Source organism: Homo sapiens, chromosome 2, assembly GCF_000001405.40.
Source record: "Homo sapiens chromosome 2, GRCh38.p14 Primary Assembly".
Taxonomy (NCBI): Eukaryota; Metazoa; Chordata; class Mammalia; order Primates; family Hominidae; genus Homo; species Homo sapiens.
In genome coordinates, this window is record NC_000002.12 from 232,305,504 (window position 1) to 232,328,660 (window position 23,157).

Consider the following 23,157-nt stretch of genomic DNA (forward strand, 5'->3'; position numbering starts at 1 on the left):
CTCCCTAATTATTTTGGTTGTATTTATTTTACAGCCTCTTTCCAGTTATTTGAAGAGTTTTAGTTCTAGTTCCAAGAGTACCAATTCTCTTATTTCTTGTGTCTATTGACTCACTCTTACGTGGTTCATTTTCTCTTGCAACTTGTTTTTTTATCATAAGATCATCTTAGGCTGTGCGCAGTGGCTCACGCCTGTAATCCCAGCACTTTGGGAGGCCGAGGCAGAAGGATCACCTGAAGTCAGGAGTTCGAGACCAGCCTGGCCAACATGGTGAAACCCTGTATCTACTAAAAATACACAAATTAGTTGGGCGTGATGGCACACACCTGTAAGACCAGCTACCCGGGAGGCTGAGGCAGGAGAGTCACTTGAGCCCAGGAGGCAGAGGATGCAATGAGCTGAGATCGTGCCATTGCACTCCAGCCTGGGTGACAGAACAAGACCCCATCTCAGAAAAAAAAAAAAAAGATCATCTTAAGTAGGGATTGTGTTTAGTGGGAGTTCCACATACTGTGGGTTGTGGATGTGTTATCTTATCACTTTTGCATATGTTCTGCCAAGACCCAGGGAGGTTCATAGGTCCTGCTAGTTTGGATGTTAACTCCTTGGCTTAGGAGTCTCACCTCCTGGGTAGGCCACATTCTGACTCCTCACCCATGTGCCGTGTGGGCTTCACATCTCCATTTCTCATAGGAGATGCCTCTGGTCTGTGCCACATACGGCCATTCCTCTGCTCTGTGAGAAAGGTCTTCCTGATTCTTTGTTCAAAGACCAACAGCTCCCAGGATCCTGGCTTTATGTGGGGATCTCAGTTCCAGTTCCATGACCAGGTCTTCAGTTCCATGGCCAGGTCTTCTGCCTCCTGCATGCATTAAAATCTTAGCTCCTGTAACTGTATCAACGTCTGATACTCCCGGCCCCCAGTTGCCACGGTAAAAATTACAGCTCTGACTTAATTTTTTTTTCACTTCAAGCATCTGAGAATTTTCTCATTATTCTTCTATACTCAATAATATATTTAAATTATTATTTTGGTATATTTTATCTATTAGTTCTCTGTGTTTGTGTTGGGAAGGAGGTCCACATCAGTTCAGTCTACTATCTTGTCAGAATCGGAGATCTGAATAAACTTAAATATGGTCACTCATTTAGCAAATGTATAGAGAATATCTGCTATATACCTGTATAGTTCTAGGCCCTGGGGCCACAGAGCTGAATAAACGCTGATGCTGCCAACAGAGGCCCATGTGCCAGTGGAAGGGACTGGGCACTCCTCAGCAGCAAGGCAGCCAGCCCTGTGATCCCACCCCACCTGCCTGCCATACAGACCCATCCTGTCTTCCTGCCCTGGCACCCTACATGCTGTCTGTACCAGATTACCTCACGCTCCTGCGTACAACGTGTCCCTGTTGTCATGCCATTTTCTGCTTCTAGAACATCCCTCTTTCCCAGAACCCCGTGCCCACCCATCTAGGTAACCTCTGCTTCTCCTTCCACTCTCAGCTAGGTATTTCTCCTCTGGGAAGCCATTCCACACCCCTCACAGGCACCACCAAAGCTGGGTCAGATGTGCCTTCCCCGTGGCCCTGTGCCGTGCCTGTCTGCTCCATGTCAGCTCTTAGCACTGTGCCTTTCAGTTGTGGGTTTGCTTGTTGGCTTCCGCCACTGGCCTGATGCTTTTGAGGTCAAGGTCTTGTTTTTTTCATTTCAGTACCCACAGTGCCTAATCCACTATCTGGCAAATAATGCTTGATGAAGGGAAGGTGGGGGACCTGATTTAGTCCTTTAGGAAGGGAGGGAGCATGGCTACTGAGGAGTCAAGCTTCTTTCCAGCTTTGTCTTTTCATTTGCCGTAGGATTATCATGATGATTAAATTACACATGACATCAGGGAAACTGTCTTCATGGATAGCTGTGAATTCTGAAGAGCTAACATGGAGAAAAGAAGCTGTAAAAATGTGGCTTAACTCTAAATATAGTGGTAATTACAGTCACTTACATCAGTTTTTTTTTGCCATTTTTTGCCGGGTAGTGAAGAACAGTGATAGCTATGAAGAGCATTAAACATGTCAGACAAACTTGTGGAAGCTGAATTCGATTGCAAGGCTATACTCTTGTTCACGACATCTAGACTTTATGATCCATGTACCATAATCATGATGGGAGCTACCATCTTCTGAGTGCCCGCAGACACCAGGCAAGGGGCTTACCCAGGTTAGTTCTAGTCTAAAACCATTCAAGAAGGATATTCACAATAAAAAATAAAAATAAAACCAGTGAGAGTCTGAGAGGTTTTATTATTTTCACAATTGTACAGAATAAAAAATAAAAACAAACCAAAACTGAAGAGTCTGAAGAGGCTCACCTGCCAAGGCCACAGAGGTCAAGGGCAGAACCTGGCCAGTTGTGGCAAATTCTAAAGCCTGTGCTGTGCCTTCATGACACCTGCCTTTCTCTCCATGCCAGGAAGCTGCAGGGAGTGCTGATTCCAGCCGTTTCTAAGCAGGCCTGCTTGGGAAGGCTGTCTGGGAAATCCTGGGATTTCCAGTCCCTGTGAACCCCAGGTCAGATGGGCAGCTTCTGACTTGTCATCAGAGTTCTGGGTTAGGCCAGTCACGCTGCTTGGCAGGTCACCATCCATTCAGTGGTATGTGATGTGGCTGTGTTAGTTATAAAGACCTCGTAGTTTTGGGGGTGCAGTTGCCCTGAATACCTGCCTGATTGGCCCTTGTAGTAGACCCTGGCAGACCCAGGCCCTAGCTTTGGGGTGCCTGCTCCTCTGCCCTGCTGGCAGTTGTGCCTCACTTGGTCCAGACAGTGAGGCCAGCAGTTGCTGGCAGATCCGTTGTCCCTGCGGACCTCTCAGAGCCTCCTTGACACTCACAGCCAGGTCCTCTGCCTTACTGCAGTTCTTACTCTTAGAACAGGTTAGTTTGCTAAACTTAACAAGAGAAAATCTTCCATTTTTTCCTGCCTAGCTACTGGACTCATTTTGGGACCTTGAAACACACATCATTAAACTTACTAGCTGGCCTCTAGATGTGTGAGAGAGAGCTACGCTGTGGGATTGATTTCCTTCGGCTGAAGTGTCTGCCGCATTCATGAGCCTGCCTTGAAGGACAGTACTCCTTGCAGCCTTCCAGAGGATAGGGCAGTTCTGGGCTGTACATCCTCTCCCCAGCCCACAGGCACCTGCTAGCTCAGGTCACTGTAAGGACACCTGGGTTCTCTTCCCCAGCACCTGAGCACATAGTTCTTTCTGCTTCCCAACATGCCCCCTGCCCGTGGGGGCTTAGCCTGCTTGGCATCCCCCGGGGTCTCAGAACACACTCTCTAGACACAATAGACCTAGAGAACCAACCCTAAAACCACACTGCGGTTCTCTGTTGTTTTGTGTTTATCATGGAGGATGTGATGGGTTCGTTCAGGTGCTCTGACAAGTGGACCCCAAGCAGGATTAATGTACGAGAGGTGTTGGGGGAAGGCCTGTGAAGGATGAGGGGAGGGAACAGGGGCAGGCCCGGGGCTTCCTTCACCTTACAGCAACCAGCCCTTGTAGACAGTATGCATCCCAGGGCTTTCCCGTGCTGGCATTATCACAGTGACTCAGGAGCTTCTTCCCAGGTCACTGCTGGTGAGTCTTTGAGCAGCTGAGCCACAACTTTGTACCAGGGCCTGTCCCTGCCCACACACCACTCAGAAGAGCATCCCCTTTGCCCACTAGGTAGTGAGTGAGCCACTCCCCAGACTCTATCTTTCTGCCTGTTTCCTCAGAACCACTCCTGTCCCACTTGCGTCAGTTCAGATCTGCAGAGAAGCAGATGCTGAGATGGGATTGGATGTTGAGAAACATATGGAGGAAGATGCCTGTGAAGGATGAAAGGGGAGAGAGTAGCGGAAGGCAGAGAGAGCCTTCAGACCTCAACACAAGTCTGGCCCTTATGAAGGAATTTGGAAAGGAAGGAGGGCTGGGTAGGGAGAGTCTCAGGCTACGGCCCAGGTTTTTTTGTTTAGTTTTGTTTTTTTGAGATAGGATCTCATGTTGCCCAAGCTGGTCTCAATCTCCTGGGCTTAGGTAGATCCTCCCACCTCAGCACCCCCACCAGCTAGGATTACAGGCCCGCACAATGGCTCCCACCTGCGGCCCAGTTTTAAGGTTCACTGACGGAAAGTCCTCAAGCCAAAGCCAAAGCCAAAGCCAAAGCTGACTGCTGGAGGATCCTCACATCTTGCAGGACCTGGCCTGCATTAGGACCCTGGAGGCGTGCTCACAGGAAGTGTGACTTCAGGGCAGATGCAGTGGTGGATCAGAGCACTTGCAGTTGGGGACATTGTCAGTAGTAGAAGATCTGAGTGATGCCTCTTCCTGGCTGCTGCACTTGAGGAGGGGACAGAGCAGGGTGTTCCTGGATGAAGTCCTGTTTAATTAGCTTCCCCCCTGCTTGGTTCTTTGCCTTTGCCTTCATCCTGAATAAGCAGAGGAAATATTTCCCAGCAGCTCTGACAACTTCAAACCAGCACCAACACTTCCCAGTACTTTGGAAATGACACTTTCTGTCTGCACCTTGGAACTGATGCCAGCTCCTCAGGCTAAGCAGCAGTGTTACCTAAGAGCCATTCATTGCAGAGGGCGAGAGCCTCCAGGCCTCCCAGACACTGCCAGGTTAGCTTGAAGAAGGCCTTTCTTGTTCCTGATGAAGCCTTAGTTTAGGAGAAAGGGGGGCTTGAAATCAAGAGAGAGGAGGGGCTTGGGGGAAGTTGGAAGCGATGCAGCCAGAGAGGTGCCAGGCGTGAGCTCATGGGTGCAAGCCTGCAGCTGTATTGTGCACGTGGGAGTCAGCCACTCACAGTGCAGGTGTGAGCTCACTGTTCCACCACAGCCGTTAGTGTTTGGCATCAGCATGATGCAGGCACAACTCCTGCTTCCACTGCTGGATTCGGGTAGTGTTCAGCGAAGGGAGTGTCTCTCCACCGTCCACCCACACAGAGGGATGGCCGTGGCTCTCTATGCTCTGCTCTCTTCTCACCTCACTCCGTGCAGCAGCAATCAGGATATTTTGTCTGCCAACAAGCAGTGCTTCATTTAACCTCAGTTTTATCTACAGGAAGAGGAGAAGAGGGTATGAACACTCCCATTTTAGAGAGAGAGAAACAGATGCCCTGATAGGTGCCCTGTGCAAGGTCAAGCTGTACATAAGAGGACCATCCAGCAGGCTTCTCCCTGGATACTACCCCAGCTATCTGATGCAAGCAGGTGTGGGGCCCTAGAACAACTACACAGAAGTGGCACTGAGTTGCCCATGGGTCCAGGAGCAGGGAGGGCAGCAAGGCCTGGGGCAGCACAGCTGCCTCCTGTATTGCTTCCATCTCCTCTGGAGTCACAGTCACCCAGTCTCCTCCACATGGAATCTGAACTGCAAAGGGCCAGGACAAGGAGGAGCTCTTTTTCAGCTGTGTTGAGTCAGTGCCTATTCCCCACTTGCTGGGAGAACCAGGGAGGGACAGAGTCTGAAGTCATATTTTATAGCACTCAGTTGCCTCGGCAGAGGTTTCCCATGCTGCTGAGCTATGGTGCTCAGGACCCTTTGTAGAAATCACTAGACCTTCAGCTCTTTCTGGCTTTCTGAGGCCAGAACTGACCCAAACAAGGAAATGGGGGAGCCGCAAAAATCGGCAGATTGTGCTGGCCACAGACCAGTCACATACATCAGTGTACACACACAGGAACACTGGTCCATGTCTCAGCATATAGTGTGACTTATGCATTCTGCTATTTTTTTCTGTAGTGCACATACTGGAAAATAGGTTTTTACAATAAGCTTGCTTTGTAAAACTTACTTCTGAATTATGACATGCATAGAGAAAAGTGTACAAATTATAAGCATCTAGTTCAAGGAAATTGTTAGAAAATGAACACATCCATGTCAAGAAATAGAACATGGCCAGGTGCAGTGGCTCACACCTATAATCCCAGCACTTTGGGAGGCCAAGGCAGGAGGATTGCTTGGGGCCCAGGGGTATGACACCAGCCCGGGCAGTGTAACGACAATTAACAAATTTTTATTTAAAAATAAATAATAAATAGAACATTACAGCTTCCAGGAGCCTCCCATGTGCCCCTCACTCCTCCCAAAAGGATACCACCATTGTTATCTTCTAACACTGTAGATTGGTTGTGCCTGGCTTTGAACTTCATATAAATGGAATTATTTACTATATTCTCTTTTGTGCCCAGCTTTTCTCTTTCAGCATTATATTTGTGAGAATTCATCTTTGCTGTTGCATCTATAGTCCATTCATCAATTTATCCAATCTGCATTTGTTCAGTCAACATTTGTATTGTTTCCATTTTGGGGTTATTATAAATCTGCTTGTACATGTCTTTTGGTGCACATATGCATGTGTTGCTTTTGAGTATATAATAGGAATGAAATTGCTGAAATCATATGTAATTTCACAAGCAGTGTGTGAGAGCTCATCTGTTTATTGGCCATTCAGTAGAGTGCCTTTTCAAATTTCTTGCCTGTTTTTCTACTGGGTTTTCTGTTTTTCTTCTTGATTTATAGTCCTCTATATTCTGGATATCAGTTCTTTGTTGCTTATACATGTTGCAAATATCTTCCACTGTGTAGTTTGCTTTTTTACTGCCTCTGGTGTTATTTTAACGTACAGAAGTACTTAATTTTAATGGAGTTCAGTATGTCGATCTTTTTTATTATGGTTAAATGCTTTTTGTATACCATTTAAGAAATCTTTGTCTATATTCTAAAAGAATCTACTTAGAATTGATTTTTGAAAATGGTACAGCAAGTTTATTTTTTCATATGGGTATCTGTTGACCCAGCATCATTTTTTGAAAATACTTTCCCATAGCTTAGCACTGCCACCTTTGTCAAAAATGAAGTACCCATATGCACAGATCTGTTTCTGCTCTCCATTCTGTGTCACTGGTTTATATATCTATTCTTGTACCAGTACCACACTACCTTCATGTTTGTATAAAAATCTTGATAGCCAGTAGAGCTACACTTTCCAACTTGGACTTTTTCTATAAAGAGCACCTATGCTATTCTTGGCCCATTCCATTTCCATATAGATTTTAGAATCAGATTGTCAGTTGCCACATACATGCACACAAACTTGCTAGGATTTATATTGAGATTGCTTTGAATCCATATGTCAATTTGGGAAAAATCAACACTTTTATGATAATGAGTCTTCACAAACATGGTACCTCCCTCTATTTAGAGCTTCTTTAATTTTTCTCAATATAATTTTCTGTTAGAGATCTTGCTCATGTTTCATTGGATTTACTCCTAGGTATTTGATTTGTGGTACTATTTTAAATGGTATTTGTAAATTTAATTTTCTCTTTGTTGCTAATACAAGGAAACATGGTTTATTTTTGTTGACCTTGTTATCAATTACTTTCCTGAATTTATTTATTAGGTTCAAATAATTTGTAGATTTTTTTTCATAACAATATTTCAGTTCAGTGTAGATGCTTTTTTATTTCCAGTGTACCTCATCATGTCATCTGCAAATAATGACAGTTTTACTTTTTCCTTTCCAATTCTCATGCCATGTATTTATTTTTCTTGCCTTATTGCACTGTACAGTATTTCTGGACATAATAATAATAGGCATTTATGTCTTGTTCCTGATCTCAAACAGAAGAGTTTTTACCACAAACTCACTCTTAGATTATGAAAATGAAAATTTTTACTGGTGTTCTCTTTAGTATACACTTTATTTTTCCCCAAGATGAGTTTTCAATTTGGGAACTTTTTTTTAAGTTTTAAGTGGTGATTTATGAGCTAGGAGCTAGGAAAATGATATCTGATTTTTTATTTAAATGAAAAGGAACTAATGTTTATCACAAGACTGCTACTCCTCATTTTAACCTTGTGAGGAGGTTTTGCCTTGGCCATTTTACAGAAGGATCTCATGGCTGTACATTTGAACAAGGATTCAAACAGATCTGTCTGACTTCAAAACCCATGCTCTCTTTACTGCTCCCTGATTCCTTGGTAGAATATTGAACGTGAACCCACGAGGTCGTAAAAATACCACTTTTGTCATAGATGACCGAGAGAAAAGTTGCTAAACTATTATTGCCTCACAGGTATATGCAGCATCTTTTCCTTTCCCCAGTAACCTCCTACCCCAAATCTCTTTATATCCCTGTGTTTTAGTCCATTTTCATGCTACTGATAAAGACATACCTGAGACTGGGCAGTTTACAAAAGAAAGAGGTTTGTTGGACTTACAGTTCCACCTGGCTGGGGAGTCCTCACAATCATGGCAGAAGGCAAGGAGGAGCAAGTCACATCTTACAAGGATGGCAGCAGGCCAAGAGAGGGCATGTGCAGAGAAACTCCCATTTTTAAAACCATCAGATCTTGTGAGACCCATTCACTATCATGAGAACAGCATGAGAAAGACCTGCCCCCGTGATTCAGTTATCTCCCACCACGTCCCTCCCACAACACATAGGAATTATGGGAGCTACAAGATGAGATTTGGGTGGGGACACAGAGCCAAACCATATGACACTATCACCTGCCCCATCCCACCTTTCCCTGATTTCCATTGCCATGGAAAGGAGCCCTCTGGGCCTGCCTGTGGCCCTAAAGGGCTGCAGCCCTCCTCAGCACCGGCCCAGCACCCACTGGGCCCAGTATAGGGCATTCTCCAGCCTGTGCTGTCATTCTGTCGCCTGTTGTCTGGTGCTGGGAGGTAGGATTGAAGGCTTTCCTCCTGGGCGGGCTGCTCAGGTTGCAAGGTAGATCCTATATTTTTAAGCCCTGTAGAGTCTCAGCTGTCCCATTTTGAGGGTTATGCATCCTACATGGGTTCACAGAATCCCTTTCGCTGAGACTTGGAGGAATGAAGAGGACAGAGAGGGTCGAGACCCAAACCGAGCAGGCCCCGGAGGCCTCAGGGCCCTGGGGCTGAAGGGAGCTCCCTAGCCCGAGAATGCCCCTCACTATTCTCACACTCCACCTTTTGCAGCCCAAATACCCATGGATGCCCCAAGAGATTTCCCTATGAGACAGAAAATTCTAGAACACCAGGAACTCTCAAAACTAGATATTTCAAAACTCTTAAAGACCTTAAAGAGTAAATGTTTTCATTGTCGATTTAACATAGAGTTACATTAAGCAGCTAACACTTTCCCTTTCTTGAATAAGATTTCCTGTCTGTCACGTTGCCATTTGCTTTCTTCATGTTTTTGCGATGGACTGCAGCTCCCTCCATTCTGGGGAGCCTCCTGGCGCTGCAGCAATCCAGCATGACTCGGAGCTCTTTGATTTTCTTTCCCAGTTACTTTATAGCACATGAAGATGTGTTCTTACCAGTGACAGAGGGTCGGTGAGAATGACCATTTTTGTTTTCCGTATATCTGTACCTGCCACATCCATACCTTTCTCAGAAGGTCCTGGAATGACTCGTTTCTCTCTCTGCCTCTCTGGGTATTTCTCCAACCACAGGTTTGCATCCCCAGGGGGAAGCCAGCTCTCTGGTCCCTCATGCTAAGCTTTTTAAGCAGATAGTACTGCCAGGCGGTCTTTAAACCCAAGGAGGCTTGCCCCTTCCCAAGACTTCAAGGAGTTCTAGAAGAGACTGTGATATTCAGGCCAGGTCCCTGTTTGATGAACAGGGACACTCAATTCCTGGCAAGTGGGGTGAGCGCCTCCAGCCCTCCCCACCCCCATACCGGTGTGCTGGCCCAGACCCAGGGCATATTCAGGTACTTAAAGTAGCAAATGTCTCTGCTGTAAAAACCCTCACTCCGGTACTGAAAGCCCAGAGCCCAGGCTCAGGCCACAGAGGTCTGAGATATACTCTCAAGGAGGTTAGCCCATAAAAGAAACAGGTCATAGGACTGCATGTTGGGTTTGAGCCTGAAGAAAGGTGCCCATGGTTGTCATCTTCTGTGGCTGCCTGGCAGGTAACCAGATGTGCTTGGCTCTCTTAGCTTTTGGCTGTGCTATCTGTGGGGTAGTGTTTCTGATCTGTCTTCACTGCCACTCCCAGCTCTCTGAGGCTTTGTGGCTTTTTCTTGGTGGTTGGGCAGGAAGCCTCTAGAGCCTGAAGGAATTGCTGTGCTTGATGACAGGCACAGGCTATCAATGGCTATAAATCGCCTAGTGGCTGCTTCACGTATTGAAGAAGAACATGTTTGCTGTCTGTTCTGCGGATGCTTCTCTGATGGCCGGAACACAGCTGCGAAAAGATTTCGTAGAGTGACTCAGAGCAAGCGCCCAGCTCATGCCCACTGAATTAAGCAAGAGGAAGTGGCCAACTTCCGCAGCTGCTCTGAAAGCCCAACACAGCAAGGCCTGGCTGAGATGAACAACATAGATCATTCCACTGACTTTGGGCTACCCCCAAGCCAACCCCATGTGACCCCACACCTACCCCAAAGCTAGGTGAGACCCAGGGTCCACCCTCCAAGCCCGGGTTACCAGTAGGGGGTAGGTGCCAAACTGGAGAGTAGACTGTGATGAATGGGTAGCAGAGATGGCAGAGGACATGGCTCATCACCTGGGGTCGGGGACCCCGCTCTCAGCAGCTCCCTTCCCTGAGTGCCCTGGCATTGGTGTGTCTGTGTGTTCGCGAGCCCTGGCATGCCACTGCGGCTTCACAGTAGCCTCCTGGGCAGCGGCTCATCAGCTTCCAGCACAGCCTTTGTTGTTCTATAAATCTGTTAATGTTTGTGCTACCTAGAATAAGAAGGAAGGAGTCATTCTACAGAGAGGATTTATTCTTCCAGGCGCCAAAACCTTGTTCCTTACGATTATGTCCTGTTCTTTAATGGGGTCCCCTGTACTCCACAGTGTCATTCGCCTCCACACTAGATGTCCACACAATGCTGTGTATTTTCACTGATTTTGCTGGGGCCCTGCCCTGTCTTTGTCTCTGCCTTTACAGTCAGGGCCAGTTGTCACTTCTCCGTGGCTGTCCGGAGAACCTGTAGCACCCTCTCCAGCCACTCCAAGCATGAGGCTTTGTGGGGAGCGTGGAATCTGTGAGGAAGCCGAGGCAAGCTGTTAGGATTCTGTTCAATGGGAGGAAAGGCTCTGAGTGAGGTGGGAAGGAAGGACTTCCCAGGAGGCACACTTGGGTTCCCGGCCCCACCTCTGCGCTGGCTGCCCACAGGCCCTGCTTCTGCCTATTTCCTGGTTCTGCTTCATGTTTCAAAGACATAAGATCAAATGTGATTAAGTTTTAGGTAAGCAAGATATTGTGCTTATTATTGAATTGTTCTTCTTTAGTTTAACAGCCCTCCAGTTTAATCTAAATCTGTTTCCTGTCATTAAGTCTTTGGTGTAGATAAAAGATCAGTTAGCTGGTCGCTATCTTTTGTGTCATAAATCTTCTAGGAAACCATTGTTGTGATTTTTCATTGTACCGTTCCTGAAGAGGAAGGAACTTTTCATTCCTTTGGGCTTTTTTCCTGGTGAATTTCCCAGCTGTTAGTGTCATCGAGCTTAACTCTCACATCCTTAAGGCAGCATTAGCCTCAGAACCACCAGTACCTCGCTGTGTGCCCTGGGAGGCAGGTTATTACCCTTGGCTTCATGACCCATGGACAGTCCTTGCAATGGAAGGGAAACACATTTGTGGGTAGAGTGTGGAGAATGTGTGTGAAAGGCTTTCCTCGCCCAGGCAGTAAGTGCTGCGGAAACAAGCCACTTTTTATGCTAATAAGATTTGGACAGGGGTTGGGAGGTAGGGGAGTGAGTGTGTGTTGATCTGATTCCCTGTGCCCAAGAGCAAGGACAGTCACTTCATCCCAGCCCCTGCACAGTGTTGGGAACACAGAGGTGTTCAGCAGATGCTGGACAAATGTCTCCTGGGAGTATGCAGTATTTGCTCTTTTTTCCTCTCATGTTCTGTGTTCCTAACATTCTTCTATTTTGGCGGGGTGGGGAGGTAGAAGGTAGGCAGAGTCTCACTCTGTTGCCCAGGCTGGAGTACAGTGGCCCGATCTCTGCTCACTGTAACCTCTGCTTGCCGGGTTCAAGCGATTCATGTGCCTCAGCCTCCCGGGTAGCTGGGATTACAGGTGCCCTCCACCACGCCTGGCTAATTTTTGTATTTTTAGTAGAGATGGGGTTTCACTATGTTGGCCAGCCTGGTCTCGAATTCCTGGCCTCAAGGGATCTGCTCACCTCAGCCTCCCAAAGTGCTGGGATTACAGGTGTGAGCCACCACTCCTAGCCTCTTCTATTTTTTAATTACACCTCTAATTGTCTCTGAATTGTCACTGAATTAATTGTCTCCTTAATTCAGTGCAGAAGGTTTTCATAATAACACTAATATTTATGGAATAGTTAACAATAGGTCAGAGCTTATAATGTTAAATAAGATAACAAAGTTTATCTCATTTAATCCTCACTAGAATAACCCTGCGAGGTAGGTAGAAGAAGTTAGAGAGGTTAAGTAGTCTGCCTAAGGTTACCCAGGTTGTGTGTGGTTGACAGTGCCCTACCTTTCCCCCCTGACTTTAGCAATACAAGAATACTGGCAAGTTGCTGCTGCCCTCTGGGCTCTGTTATAAAGTGAAGCTGCCGATCCACAATGGAGAACCCACTCCTGCAAGGCCAGGCCTCCACAGAGGCCAGAGGCCAGAGGCCAGTAGTGGTCGGGGTGCCCAGGAAGCTGGGCTCAAACAAGGGTAACTTGCAAGAATCTTCAGGAAGCCCTTATATTCAGAATTGTGTTCTGTGCCACATGGGCCCTTTCCCACCATCAAACTTAGAAAACGACCCCTAGGAAAGTCCTCAGAGTTCATGGAAGGGCGCTGAGAAGTCTGCCCACACCCTCGTGGGTTGGAGGACCAGTTTCGCCAAGTGTTCTCTGGCCCAGTTGTAAACATCATTCGTTTGCTTGTCCAGCAAACATTATTGGACGCCTATTAGTGCCAGGTACTGCACTGAGCACAAGAGAAGGGCCCAGTTCCTTCCCTTGAAGCCCACAGCCCATCGAGGAAGACAGGTATGTAAGACAGCATTTGCAAGGGGGTGACAAAGGCCAGGGGGGAGGTGAACAAAGGATGCAGGGAGTGGCTCTCAGTGTTGTGAGCACCCCGCATGGGAAGGCCAGCGCGGCAGGGTGCTGGGTGCTGTTGCCCTCTGCTTCTCCCGGCTGGAGTGTCAGTGTGGGACCCTGTAGGCCCCAACCCACCCCAGGGGAGGCAAGTGAGAAGGTGACAGGACAGAGTCATGGGACAAGAACCAGAGGGAAGAGGCCTGGCCAAGCCCTGGAGAACTGAGCAGAGCAGAGAGCCGCCTCACCAAGCCTCTGTGTTCCATCTTGTCATGCTTGTTGGAATGAGGAGGAATCCCTAAAGATCATGGATAGAAGGAGAATGGCTCTTCTTCCCACCACCTCCCCACCGTCTCTCCCTGAAACCCCAGGAGCATTCCAGATACAACACAGGGCGGGGGTCTTCCCTTCATGTTCCTTGAGTGCAGTGGCCATGGCCACTCCTTTCTCAGAACTCCTACTGCCAGTCTTAGCACTGCTGGCCTCCATACCCAGCAGGGAGGTGTGGTCTGCTCCCACATGGCTGGCTGGGCCATTCCTGGGCAGATGGTATCGAGTAAGGAGCACCCAGTGTCTTGTGTGGTTGGCACACAAGACACTGTGGTGGTTGAGAGAAGCAGAGGGCAACAGCACCCAGCACCCTACCACACTGGCCTTCCCATGTGGGGTGCACACGACACTGTGTGGTTGGCACACAGTGGACACACCCTGGACTGCATGCTACGTATAAGCATGTCCTGGTGAAACTAGCAGCCAGTTCTTTGTTTTGTTGCAAATGACCATTTGACAGTACTTCCACAACAGCCAAACATGGCACATGAGGAACTGGGCTTGAGTATCACAAAGATTTACTGGTAAATGGACAGGCATAAGCACCATTAATCAGACAGCACAGTTACTCTCCATCTTGGTGGCTGCACAGCTCAGCGGACCACACAGGGCCCTCCTGGGGTGTTGGGCAAGGCCTCCTCCCAGGCAGAGGCAGCTGGACTGAGGCCAGAGAGTTCTGGGTGCTACAGCCTCTACCAGGAACAACAATTCTCACCCAGGGGAGGCCTGAAGGCTGCCTGGGCTTGGCTGCCTGGGCTTGGCCTAACCTACCTGTGAAGAAGCTCCCAGATTGCTAGTCAGCATCCCAGGTACCAGGAGAGCTTTCTTAATGCATCTGAAAATCCTGGATAAACAGGGCTGCCCTCTGCAACCCAGGCTGCCCTACAAGATGGGCTTGGCCTCCAGAGTGGTAGCTCAGGGAAGCAGAGCCCTCAGGTCCAGTCACGCTTTGGCATGGTCTGGCCTCACCATCTGACTTACGATTGACCCAGCCTGCCTGAAAGGACTCAGGGCCTAATCCAGGTTGTTCTGGTCTTGGTTCTCAGGTAGAATGAGAGTGGCGTCGGGGAAAGGGCTGAAGTCTTCACACAGGCTGTGCGAGAGCACTCAGCAGTCTTTGGTTGACTTTGGGTAGGAGTGGAGATGAAACCCAGCAGTCTTATGGTTTTCCCCGCCCTCCACCCCACCCACCCTACCCCTTCCTGTGGACAAAGAGAGGGCAGAGCTGGGGCCTCAGTGCCACGTGGGGTGGGCACATGAAGATGTCAGGGAAGCCCAGAATGTTCTGGGGGGGGTGGGGGACACATTCATTGAAACCGCTCTGAACCTAGGTCATAAAACTGTGTGTCAATATTTTAAAAGTCACAGAATGAATGCAGAGCTCTGCCAAACTCAACATGCTGTGTTCCAGGGGGTGATAAGACGAGCGTTAGTTCAGTGGAAAAAAAAACAAGACAAAAGGAGTTTTCTTTTAATCTTCTGTGTTTCATGTTTATACTGAGGCAGGCTGCCCTTGCAGGAGAGAATTCATTCATCATGCAACCAACAGATGAGTCCCAGTGACATTGTCACCTGTCACCTGTGTTGGATTTAAGTGATAACCATATACAGGCAGTAAGAATGTATCGAGGCAAATGTAGCCTGTCCCATTAGGCCAGCAGAAGCCATCTTGGGTTTCTTCTGCCAAGTTCATACACCTCTGGTTCAACAGTGATAAGCTGAAGGGAAGTTGCAGGAGCCATAACTGCCACTCCTAGTCCTTTATTACTAGGGGGCTGTGCTTCCACCCCTGAAAATAAGTCTTGTTTGGCACTCAACGTTTTCTGTGGAGCAAACAAGCAAGTCATGTCTCTGAAATACCTCATTTGTTCCCCCAAACATTTCACCAGCTCCTCCATGTGCTGCTCAGCTCTGGGATACATAGATGGGCACGGCTAGGTGTTCCCCTCCCTTCCCCACCCAACAGCCTATGGTCTGCAGAGGAAAACTAGCCTCCAGAGAAGGACAGTCTGGATTCACTGTTGAGATGTGGTTTAGAATCAGCCCACAGGACCATGGAGCCAGGGAGGGAGATGTGTGAACTGAACCTGTACAGCCCCACGAGTTGCTGAGTGGAGAAGGTGGGCTTGGGTGCGGGGAGCAGAGGGGGCAGAGTGGAAATCCAGGGTGGCCTAAGAGTCTGGGTGCCTGTCACCCATGAGGAGGCCCCAAAGAGTCCCTTGGGAACAGAGGCACTGATCTCCTTGTGGCCAGTAAGTGAGCAGGGCTGAGGCAAGGAACAGGCCAGCAAAAGCCTGCGGGGGGCCAGGGAGTGTGACAACCAAGGACCCCCAGAGCACTAGCAGCTAAGGACCTCATGCCACACTCAGACCTGGGCGAGGGACTGACCTGGAGACCTCCTGAGCTTTCTCTGACTGTATGGAGCTCACCAGGGAAAACATGGGGGATGCCTGGATGCATTGCCCAGCTCCGAGCTCAGCACAAAAACTCCCTCTTGGAACAGTCTAGAAAGAGGCTCACCTGAGGCCCAGCTGTCACCCAGGGGCCATGATGTCATGTGGGCCAAGGCATCTGAGGGGCAGGGGCCTTCCGCATCCCACTGCTGCCGTGGCCCGTGGCCCACTCTGCCCTGCCCTCCTGACCCGGAGGCCCAGTGCGTCTCTGTGGGGGGTGGGAGGAGCGTCAGCAAAGGAGAGGCTGCACAGGGCGCCTTCGGCAGTGACGCGAAACCAAGAGCAGGAAAAGCAACCCTGCTCAGCCCTGGGCGACTCAGACAGGAAAGGGCCTGAGCCTGAGGCAACCAGGAGGGGGCAGCCTTATCAGGGAGGCCGTGGCGCGGGCCTGAGTGCTGCTTCTGCCCTCATCCAACTGCAGCGGGACAGAGGCAAACAAGAGGCCCCCCCTTTGTTTCCAGGGGGGCCTGGAAACAAGGCTTCCAAGGTGGCAACAGTGTCCCAGCCCAGCCAGGCGGTGGCTGCAGGGGGCCATGTGTGTGCGCCTGTGCCTGTGACCAGCCTCAGGGCCTAGGGGCAGGGAGCAGGCCAGGGGAAAGGCTCTGTCCCTGGGGCTTGGCCGGGCAGGTGGAAAGCCAGGTTCAGATGGGTGACCCTGGGCTCTGCAGCTGCTGTGGTCTGGCAGAGGGGAGGAGGCGCCCTTAGCAGTCAGGGGCAGGATGATGGTAGTGACGTAGCTGACTACGGGGGTGCCTGACCCCTGGGCAGCAATGTGCTCTCAGGGTGGGCTCTGTATTGAGTTCCCACTGTCAGCACAGCCTTTGGCTGCTGCCTCCTCCTCAGAGGGTTCAGAGCAAATGATGCAGGGTCACCTGAGGACAAAGCATGGATGGGGTGTCAGGGACCCTGGGTCTGGGAGCTTGGGCAAGCCCTTCGAGCTCACTGAGCTCCCTGTGCTCCTGCCAGGCATGAGAACTCTGACTTCTGAGACTCAGATGGACCGAGAGTGGCAAAGTGCCTGGCAGTCTCCACATCCAGCCCTGCCACACTGTGGCATGGGACCTCTGTGGTCACTTCTGTGGCCTCCCAGAGACACCATCTCCCTCTGTCACCTTAGGACCACAGTCCCCTCCCCATGCACTGGGTGTGGGGGACCAGTGAGGAGTGGATGAGGAAGTGCAGAGACCACTCTACGCTTGTTTCCCTGCAGACTTTAGTGGCTGTGTGGCTGGGGTGGTGGCCCTGCTGAAGGGGATCTGACCTGGCAGCCGTTTGGGCAGGAGCAGTTTTCAGATGTGAGCACACGTTCAAACTTGCAGCAGCAAAGCTGCTCAAGGTCCCAGGAAGCCCAGGCTTCTCTCTCGTTTTTGTGGCTGCCTTGGTAACGTGTGGGTGTAAGAGCGTGTGTATGTGCAGGAGAGAGACGGAGAGAAAGAAAGACCTGTGCATTCCAGAACACCCTTCTTCCTTGAACATCCGATTACCCAGAGCCTAATTTTAAAACCGAAGTCGATGCCTTCTTAAGTCTGCGATGGCCCAGCTGGCCTCCTTAAGTCTGTGATGGCCCAGTTCTGTTCTTGCTCCAAGTCTACGAAGCCAGCTTCCCCTGCTGGGGCTTGAAAGGGACCCCTGGCCAGGAGCAAGCAGGGCAGCAAGCAAAGCTGTTGGGGGCACTGTGGGGACTCCCCCAGGTGGCCAGGCTTCTGTGTGCCCGTGCCACCCCTCCTCAGGACCTTGTTTCCAGTTCCGGTTGGGCAGGGGCTGGCACTGGAGAGAGGCTTATGTGTCAACACCATAAAGCAGCCAGCAAGCCCTAATGACCACGCTCTGCAAGACCACACAGCACAGACTGGCACCTGGTTCTGCTTGGGGGCAGGGCCGCTGCCAGCCTGCAGGCCGCCCCTACCTCTGGGAGCAGAGCCCGAACTTGGGGAGCGAATGAGGCTTCTGGGCTGGCTTTATGCTGACAAGGGCCTTCTGCACTGTCAGCCCGGCCCCAGCTCCCAGCAAGTCTCCTTTCGCTCCCCATTACGGCCACTGGGGCTCCCTTTGGCAAGGCCTGAGGGCCCAAATGTGGCCATCTAGCCTCTGGGGACTTCCTTCCTTTGGAGCTAGAAAAACAGGTGCAGAATGTGTCTGGCTACAGCAGGGGCCCGCCCACTCACCTATAGAAAGGCCCTGCCATGGACTGAGCCTCCCAGCCTAGGAAACCTGGCTCTGGCCTCCCCTGCAGGCATATGATGTTTGGCTCCAGAGGCCTTCTCCTCTGGGCTTTTCCATGCCTGTGAACTGGGCCCCATTCATTTCTCTGTGGTTTCATGGGAACGTCCAATGCATTCAGGAGGTTGCAGTGCGCGCAGGAGGAGAGGGGTCAGCGAGAGGCCCGAGCTGTGACTGGTGGGCCACCCAGAGGCCACGGCACCCTCTGCTGGAGACTGGCAGCAGGGTGCATGGCCAGCTGTGGGTGGGGGTCCATCAGTCAAGCAGCTGCACTTTCTCCCCATCCCCCTCCCCGACCCAGGCAAGGTGCTCTGCCTGCGGCTCCCTTTCTCCAGGCCTCCACTTTCCAGCTCCCAGGCACCCAGCCCCACCCGGCCTGGCCTGGAACAGAGCTGCCACCAAGATCTCTTCCACTTTCCCTCCCCAGCAGCCTGCAATTCAGTGCTCCGTAGACCCCTGCCTCCCAGGGCTCTGCGGTTTCCACCACACTACACTCAATTTCCAGCTGCTAAGAACACAGCAGGTTCTACGTAAAGGTGGCCATCACCTGCACCCCATGGGTTGCCCAGCCATGGAGAAGAGGCCATGGTTGGGTACACAGCTTCTGAGACAGGCCCAGCAGCTGCCTTCATGGCCTCGGCAGAGCCCAGGGCTCTGGAGCTTACAGGCAGCGTGTGCCCAAGTGTGGAAAATTTGGTCTGCAGAAGAAATGAGGCTGAAATTGGCTGGGAGCAATTCTTATCAAAGCCACGTTAGCAGTTTTCAGCAAGAGCTAATTGAACAAGCTCTGTGAGTGGCCTCATTCCATTAGCAGGAGCCTCCCACAGAGCGTGACAAGGGCCCTGGTGGCTGAGGGCAGAAGAGGCTGTTTCTGTCCCACATTTGCCTTTGGCCTTTGAAAATGGACTAATTTTCAGCTTTGGGCACTGGTCCTGCCCCTCTGCCCCGGCTCCCGCTCATTTCCAAGGCCACTCTCTGAGTGTCCTGTGTGAGGAAGGGGTGAGGTGAGTTTGTCAGCACTTTATCAGGTGCATGGATCTGAAATGGGACACCTCTGGCCTCCTTGCCAGAGGGTGGCTTTGTGGTGAGGGTAGGGGAGGCAGAAGAAACTTCTAGAAATGTTGCTTTTACTGTGTTTTTTGCCCAAGTCCTAGAGTTGGGGCACCCAGGCCAGTCACATCATAAGATGTGTAATAATAATGTCTTATTTATTCGAGGCCAGGAACTTGAACATTGCTTCCCTGTTTTACAGGGAAACAAATTGAGATTACATGAGCTTAAGAAGCAAGTGAGTGGTAGGGCTGGCATTCCATGCAAGCCACTGAGGAGAAGCCCCTTGTCTCCATGGCAGGGCCAGGAGAGGGGAGGGACACCCCCCAACCCCTACCACCTGCCAGACAGGACCTTCCTGGCCACAGATGCCCTGGATCCCTGACTATCAAAACCCAGCCCCAGCCTTTCAGCTGAGCAGAGAAATACTCAGATCCAGTTCCTCGATGGTCAGGGAAGGCAGGCTTCCTCTGAAGAGCAGATCGCTTTACCCCTTTCTCATCTCATCACCTCTGAGCCCTGCCAGGGTGAGAGCAGCCTTTCCCAGCATCGTCCTTTAAGATGCGACAGAAACAGGTCCCACCTGAGCCAGCAGGAATGCGGCACCCAGTGGCTGGCTCTGCAGTCTTGATGCTCGCCGGCACCTTCAGGGTGAAGGACGCCCTGTCGTAAACGCATGAAGAGCCCTGCGTTTCATATATTGATGTTGTTGCTTTTTCTTTAGAGGAACGTTTGTGCACTGTGGGAACCTCTGTCTCTACCAGTGTCACCCTTGCTGTGGGGAGTGTGTACCGTGTGCGGGGGGCTGGTGGCCTTTCTCTGCTGTCTGCCACAGTTTGTGAGGGGCTCGCTGAGCCTCATACCTGAGCCTCCCCCTCCCCACCCCCTCCTGCCCCAGGGAGGCCCAGAACCAGGGAGGAGAGGTGCTGGGAGTGAGTGCCGAGGAGCTGGGGTCCTGGCCCTGCAGCCACTGTCACAGCACAGCCCCACCCCAGACCTCCAGAGTGGTGGGGCCCTGGTGGTGCAGGTTCCAGACGCTTGGCTGATGCCAGGCCTGGATCCAAGGCCCCCGTCTCCGAGGCCTTAGCTTGCTGTTCTGGAAGGTGATGCTGGCTGGCAGCCATTCCCAGCCCCTCGGAAAGCAGTTGTCAGGCAGTCCCTGAGCTCCAGCGCCCCATCCCCCGCAGGGCCCAGTGATCTCACGCCTGTGCCCCTGGTGCTGGGAGGAGTGGGGTGACACTAGGGCCAGTGCCCACATCAGAGGAGGAAGGTATGAGGCCAGGGCAGGGGGCAGGGCGCCCTCCCGTCCAGCAGCCCCAGTGCCCACTCTGCGCCCTTCGGGGCTCCCGTGGCCCAGAGTGTGGAGCGGCTCAACCTGACCACCCAGGATAGCTTGGGGGCGTTTCGGAGGTTTGGCTGCCTAGGCTGTGCACCTAGCACAGCTCCCCAGGAGAGGGAGGGAGGAGGTCAGGGGAGAGGGCCCTGCTGACCGGGTCATCTCTGGCCCTGGGTTCCCATAGGAGCGCCTAGGCTCTAAGCTGGAGCCTCCCCATCCCAGGACCTTGGGGAGAAAGAGGCTGGGCGCCACCTGCTGGCCCACCAGGGAATTGACAGGGTGGGGGACTGTGGAGCCTGTGCTGGCCGCAGATGAGAGCCCTGACTCCCACCTTCCCTACCCCACCCACCCTGCACCGTCCAGCTCAGTTCTCTGACCCGTGGTGCCAGGTCCCATTTGCAATGGCGAATACTGAACTCGGTGCAACTCTGGCTGCTGGCAGCTGGGCTTGGCCTGCACCTTTCTGTCCCCAAACTCCACTGGGGACCCACCTTCCAGCCACCCCAGGGTGCCACCGCCAGAGCCAGGGGTCAGCCCCACCTTCATTCACTCCTACTCATAGCCTACCTGTTCACTCTGCCCCCATCTGCTACTTGCAGCATCAGAAGGACATGAGGGCACCAAACAGCCCCTGCAGCTGTCCTCAAACATCATGGCCAAGGCTGCACCTGGGAAGTGGACTTTCTGTGGTGCTAGCTCCCTCCTCAGTGCCCTTGACCTTTGTCTGGGTCCCTGCTTAATGTGGCCTAACTAGTTGGGCCAGAGCTCCACAGGTGCTGTCCTGACTCCCAGCCCCAGGAGGGAGGGAGAGGCTGAGACGGCAAGGGAAGCAGAGACTCAGCCACACCAAGGGCCCTGGCAAGGTGGGCCTCTCCTCCATAGCCTCACCAGGCTTCACGTTCAAGGTCACCAAGAGTGCACTTGTTCACTGTCGAGGGCAGAGGTGACTCCTGGGACTGTGCTGGGGGTCCAGGGAGAGCAGGTAGCGGAGTTGCCAGGGAAGCAGCTTGCCTGAGGTCTGTGGTCTTGGCAGGGGCTTCCACAGCGGCCCCACCCTCTCCCTGTCCCCTCCCTCCTGTCCTTGTCCTCGTGTTTACTGAAAACCATGAGAAGGGATGTGGAGAGCGCCTGCAGGAACTGAGAGCAGGAGCCTGGCTCAGCCCTGAGAGGCCCCCAGATATTCAATTCCTAAACCCATAGAGGGTGGGGCATGGGCACAGAGGAGTAACCAGGGGCCACCTCACACAGCCCTGCTCTTTCACCCTGCCCGCCTGGTGGCCTCCTTAGCCTGCAGCCTCAGTGCTGCCCGCTATGGGGTCATGCTGCCTCCTGCTGGCCACACTGCAAAATGCAGCCCAGGGTCGGGCCTAAGGCTACACTTGTCCCTCTTCCGGCAAGCCTGCAGCTGGGCTGGAGGGGAAAGCAGGCACCACAGAATTGCCTGGATGCTCCTGCCCAGGAGGATTGTCCGACTGCATGGGGAGAAAAGTCCAGAACCGTGCCTGGCACATAGTAGTTTTTATGGAGTGAGAGGGCAAAAGTACGCATGATTGTGTGCATCTGAAGTATTTCCGTGCTGATGGCCTGACCAGTATCAGATTATTTTTCAAGCAGGAATTTTGATTCCTCTTGGGTTCACAATATCTTATTATGAAATCCGAATAAGAACAGTCTAATGGCACCAGACAGTGATACAGGTGAGCCTAGAACAGTCAGTGTTCATGTGGGGGACTGCAGCCTGCTTTTCAGGGAGGCTTCAAAAGAATTGAGGAACACAGATTGATGGCAGGGATGAAAATCACAGGGCATATTGAGGAGACCCCCAGCTGGCCATGTGGGGGGCAGGTGGGGCAACAGGAGAACAGTGCCTGCGTCCTGAGGGCTTTCAATGCATCAGGCAGAGGGCCTGCCAGTGCAGAACCTGTTTTCTCTGCGTCCATGACAGCCCTGAGCAGGTGCCATTGTGACCCCTGTCCTGCATTTGAGACAGAGGATGGGGAGGGCTCTGTGATTTGTTCAGAATCCCACGGCAAGAAAGTTGTGGAGCTGAGAGTCAAACCTGGGCTTGGGAGACTTGTAGTGGGTTAAGGGCTTGAACACAGGGTTTTTGGCAGGAAGTGGTGGGCACAAGCACAGATTAGGGCTGGGAGGTGGGGTGGCACATCACAGGCCGTTACTGCCACCCAGAGGGCAACATGGATGCTCCTCCTTTTACCTGCTGGGTGTCCTGTGTGGTAGAAGGGCAGGCTGAAGCTTGATCCTTGTGGTCACACATCCCAGCTGTCACCTGCCTTACTGTGTGCCATGAGCCAGCCCAAAAAAGTCCCCACTAGTCCCCAGGGGAGGCGCTAGGGGTGCTGGGCTGGCTTCCCTCCTCTCCAGGTGGTGCCTGCCCTCCTGGGGCATTTCCCAGCCCTTCTTCCTCTGCATCTCAGGCTCCCTGGGGAGGCAGATATGCTCTCAGGACATCCTGGCAGAGCACAGCCACACGTCTGCCCTGGCAGGCCCACCCTGGGTGGAGGAGGGGCTCTATATGCCAGGGCTCTCTCTCTCGGTGGCTGGCTTTCTTTCCACGAGCATGGCCAGATGACGAGGCTCACCCGCAGCACTACTCACACCTCCAGGAAGGGAAGTTGATGGCAGGGTTCTGGCTGCAGCCAGGCCTGCGGGAGCTTCCTCCCTGATCTCTCTCACTCAAGGGGAAAGCTC

The 23,157-nt window shown here is 51.7% G+C and overlaps 1 protein-coding gene across 4 annotated transcripts in view, besides 3 other annotated features; it reads left to right on the top strand.

The window, feature by feature from the left end:
• DIS3L2 (DIS3 like 3'-5' exoribonuclease 2) overlaps positions 1 to 23,157 on the top strand; it is a 382,638-nt gene that overhangs the window by 343,791 nt on the left and 15,690 nt on the right. The gene's annotated exons all lie outside the window — the stretch shown is intronic.
• Positions 9,866 to 10,035: an enhancer, noted in NCBI's record as "active region_17319". NCBI's record gives its function as "activates an Ori minimal core promoter by ATAC-STARR-seq in GM12878 lymphoblastoid cells {active_cell/tissue: GM12878}" and the evidence as "EXISTENCE:reporter gene assay evidence [ECO:0000049][PMID:35858748]".
• Positions 22,588 to 22,857: an enhancer, noted in NCBI's record as "active region_17320". NCBI's record gives its function as "activates an Ori minimal core promoter by ATAC-STARR-seq in GM12878 lymphoblastoid cells {active_cell/tissue: GM12878}" and the evidence as "EXISTENCE:reporter gene assay evidence [ECO:0000049][PMID:35858748]".
• Positions 22,928 to 22,977: an enhancer, noted in NCBI's record as "active region_17321". NCBI's record gives its function as "activates an Ori minimal core promoter by ATAC-STARR-seq in GM12878 lymphoblastoid cells {active_cell/tissue: GM12878}" and the evidence as "EXISTENCE:reporter gene assay evidence [ECO:0000049][PMID:35858748]".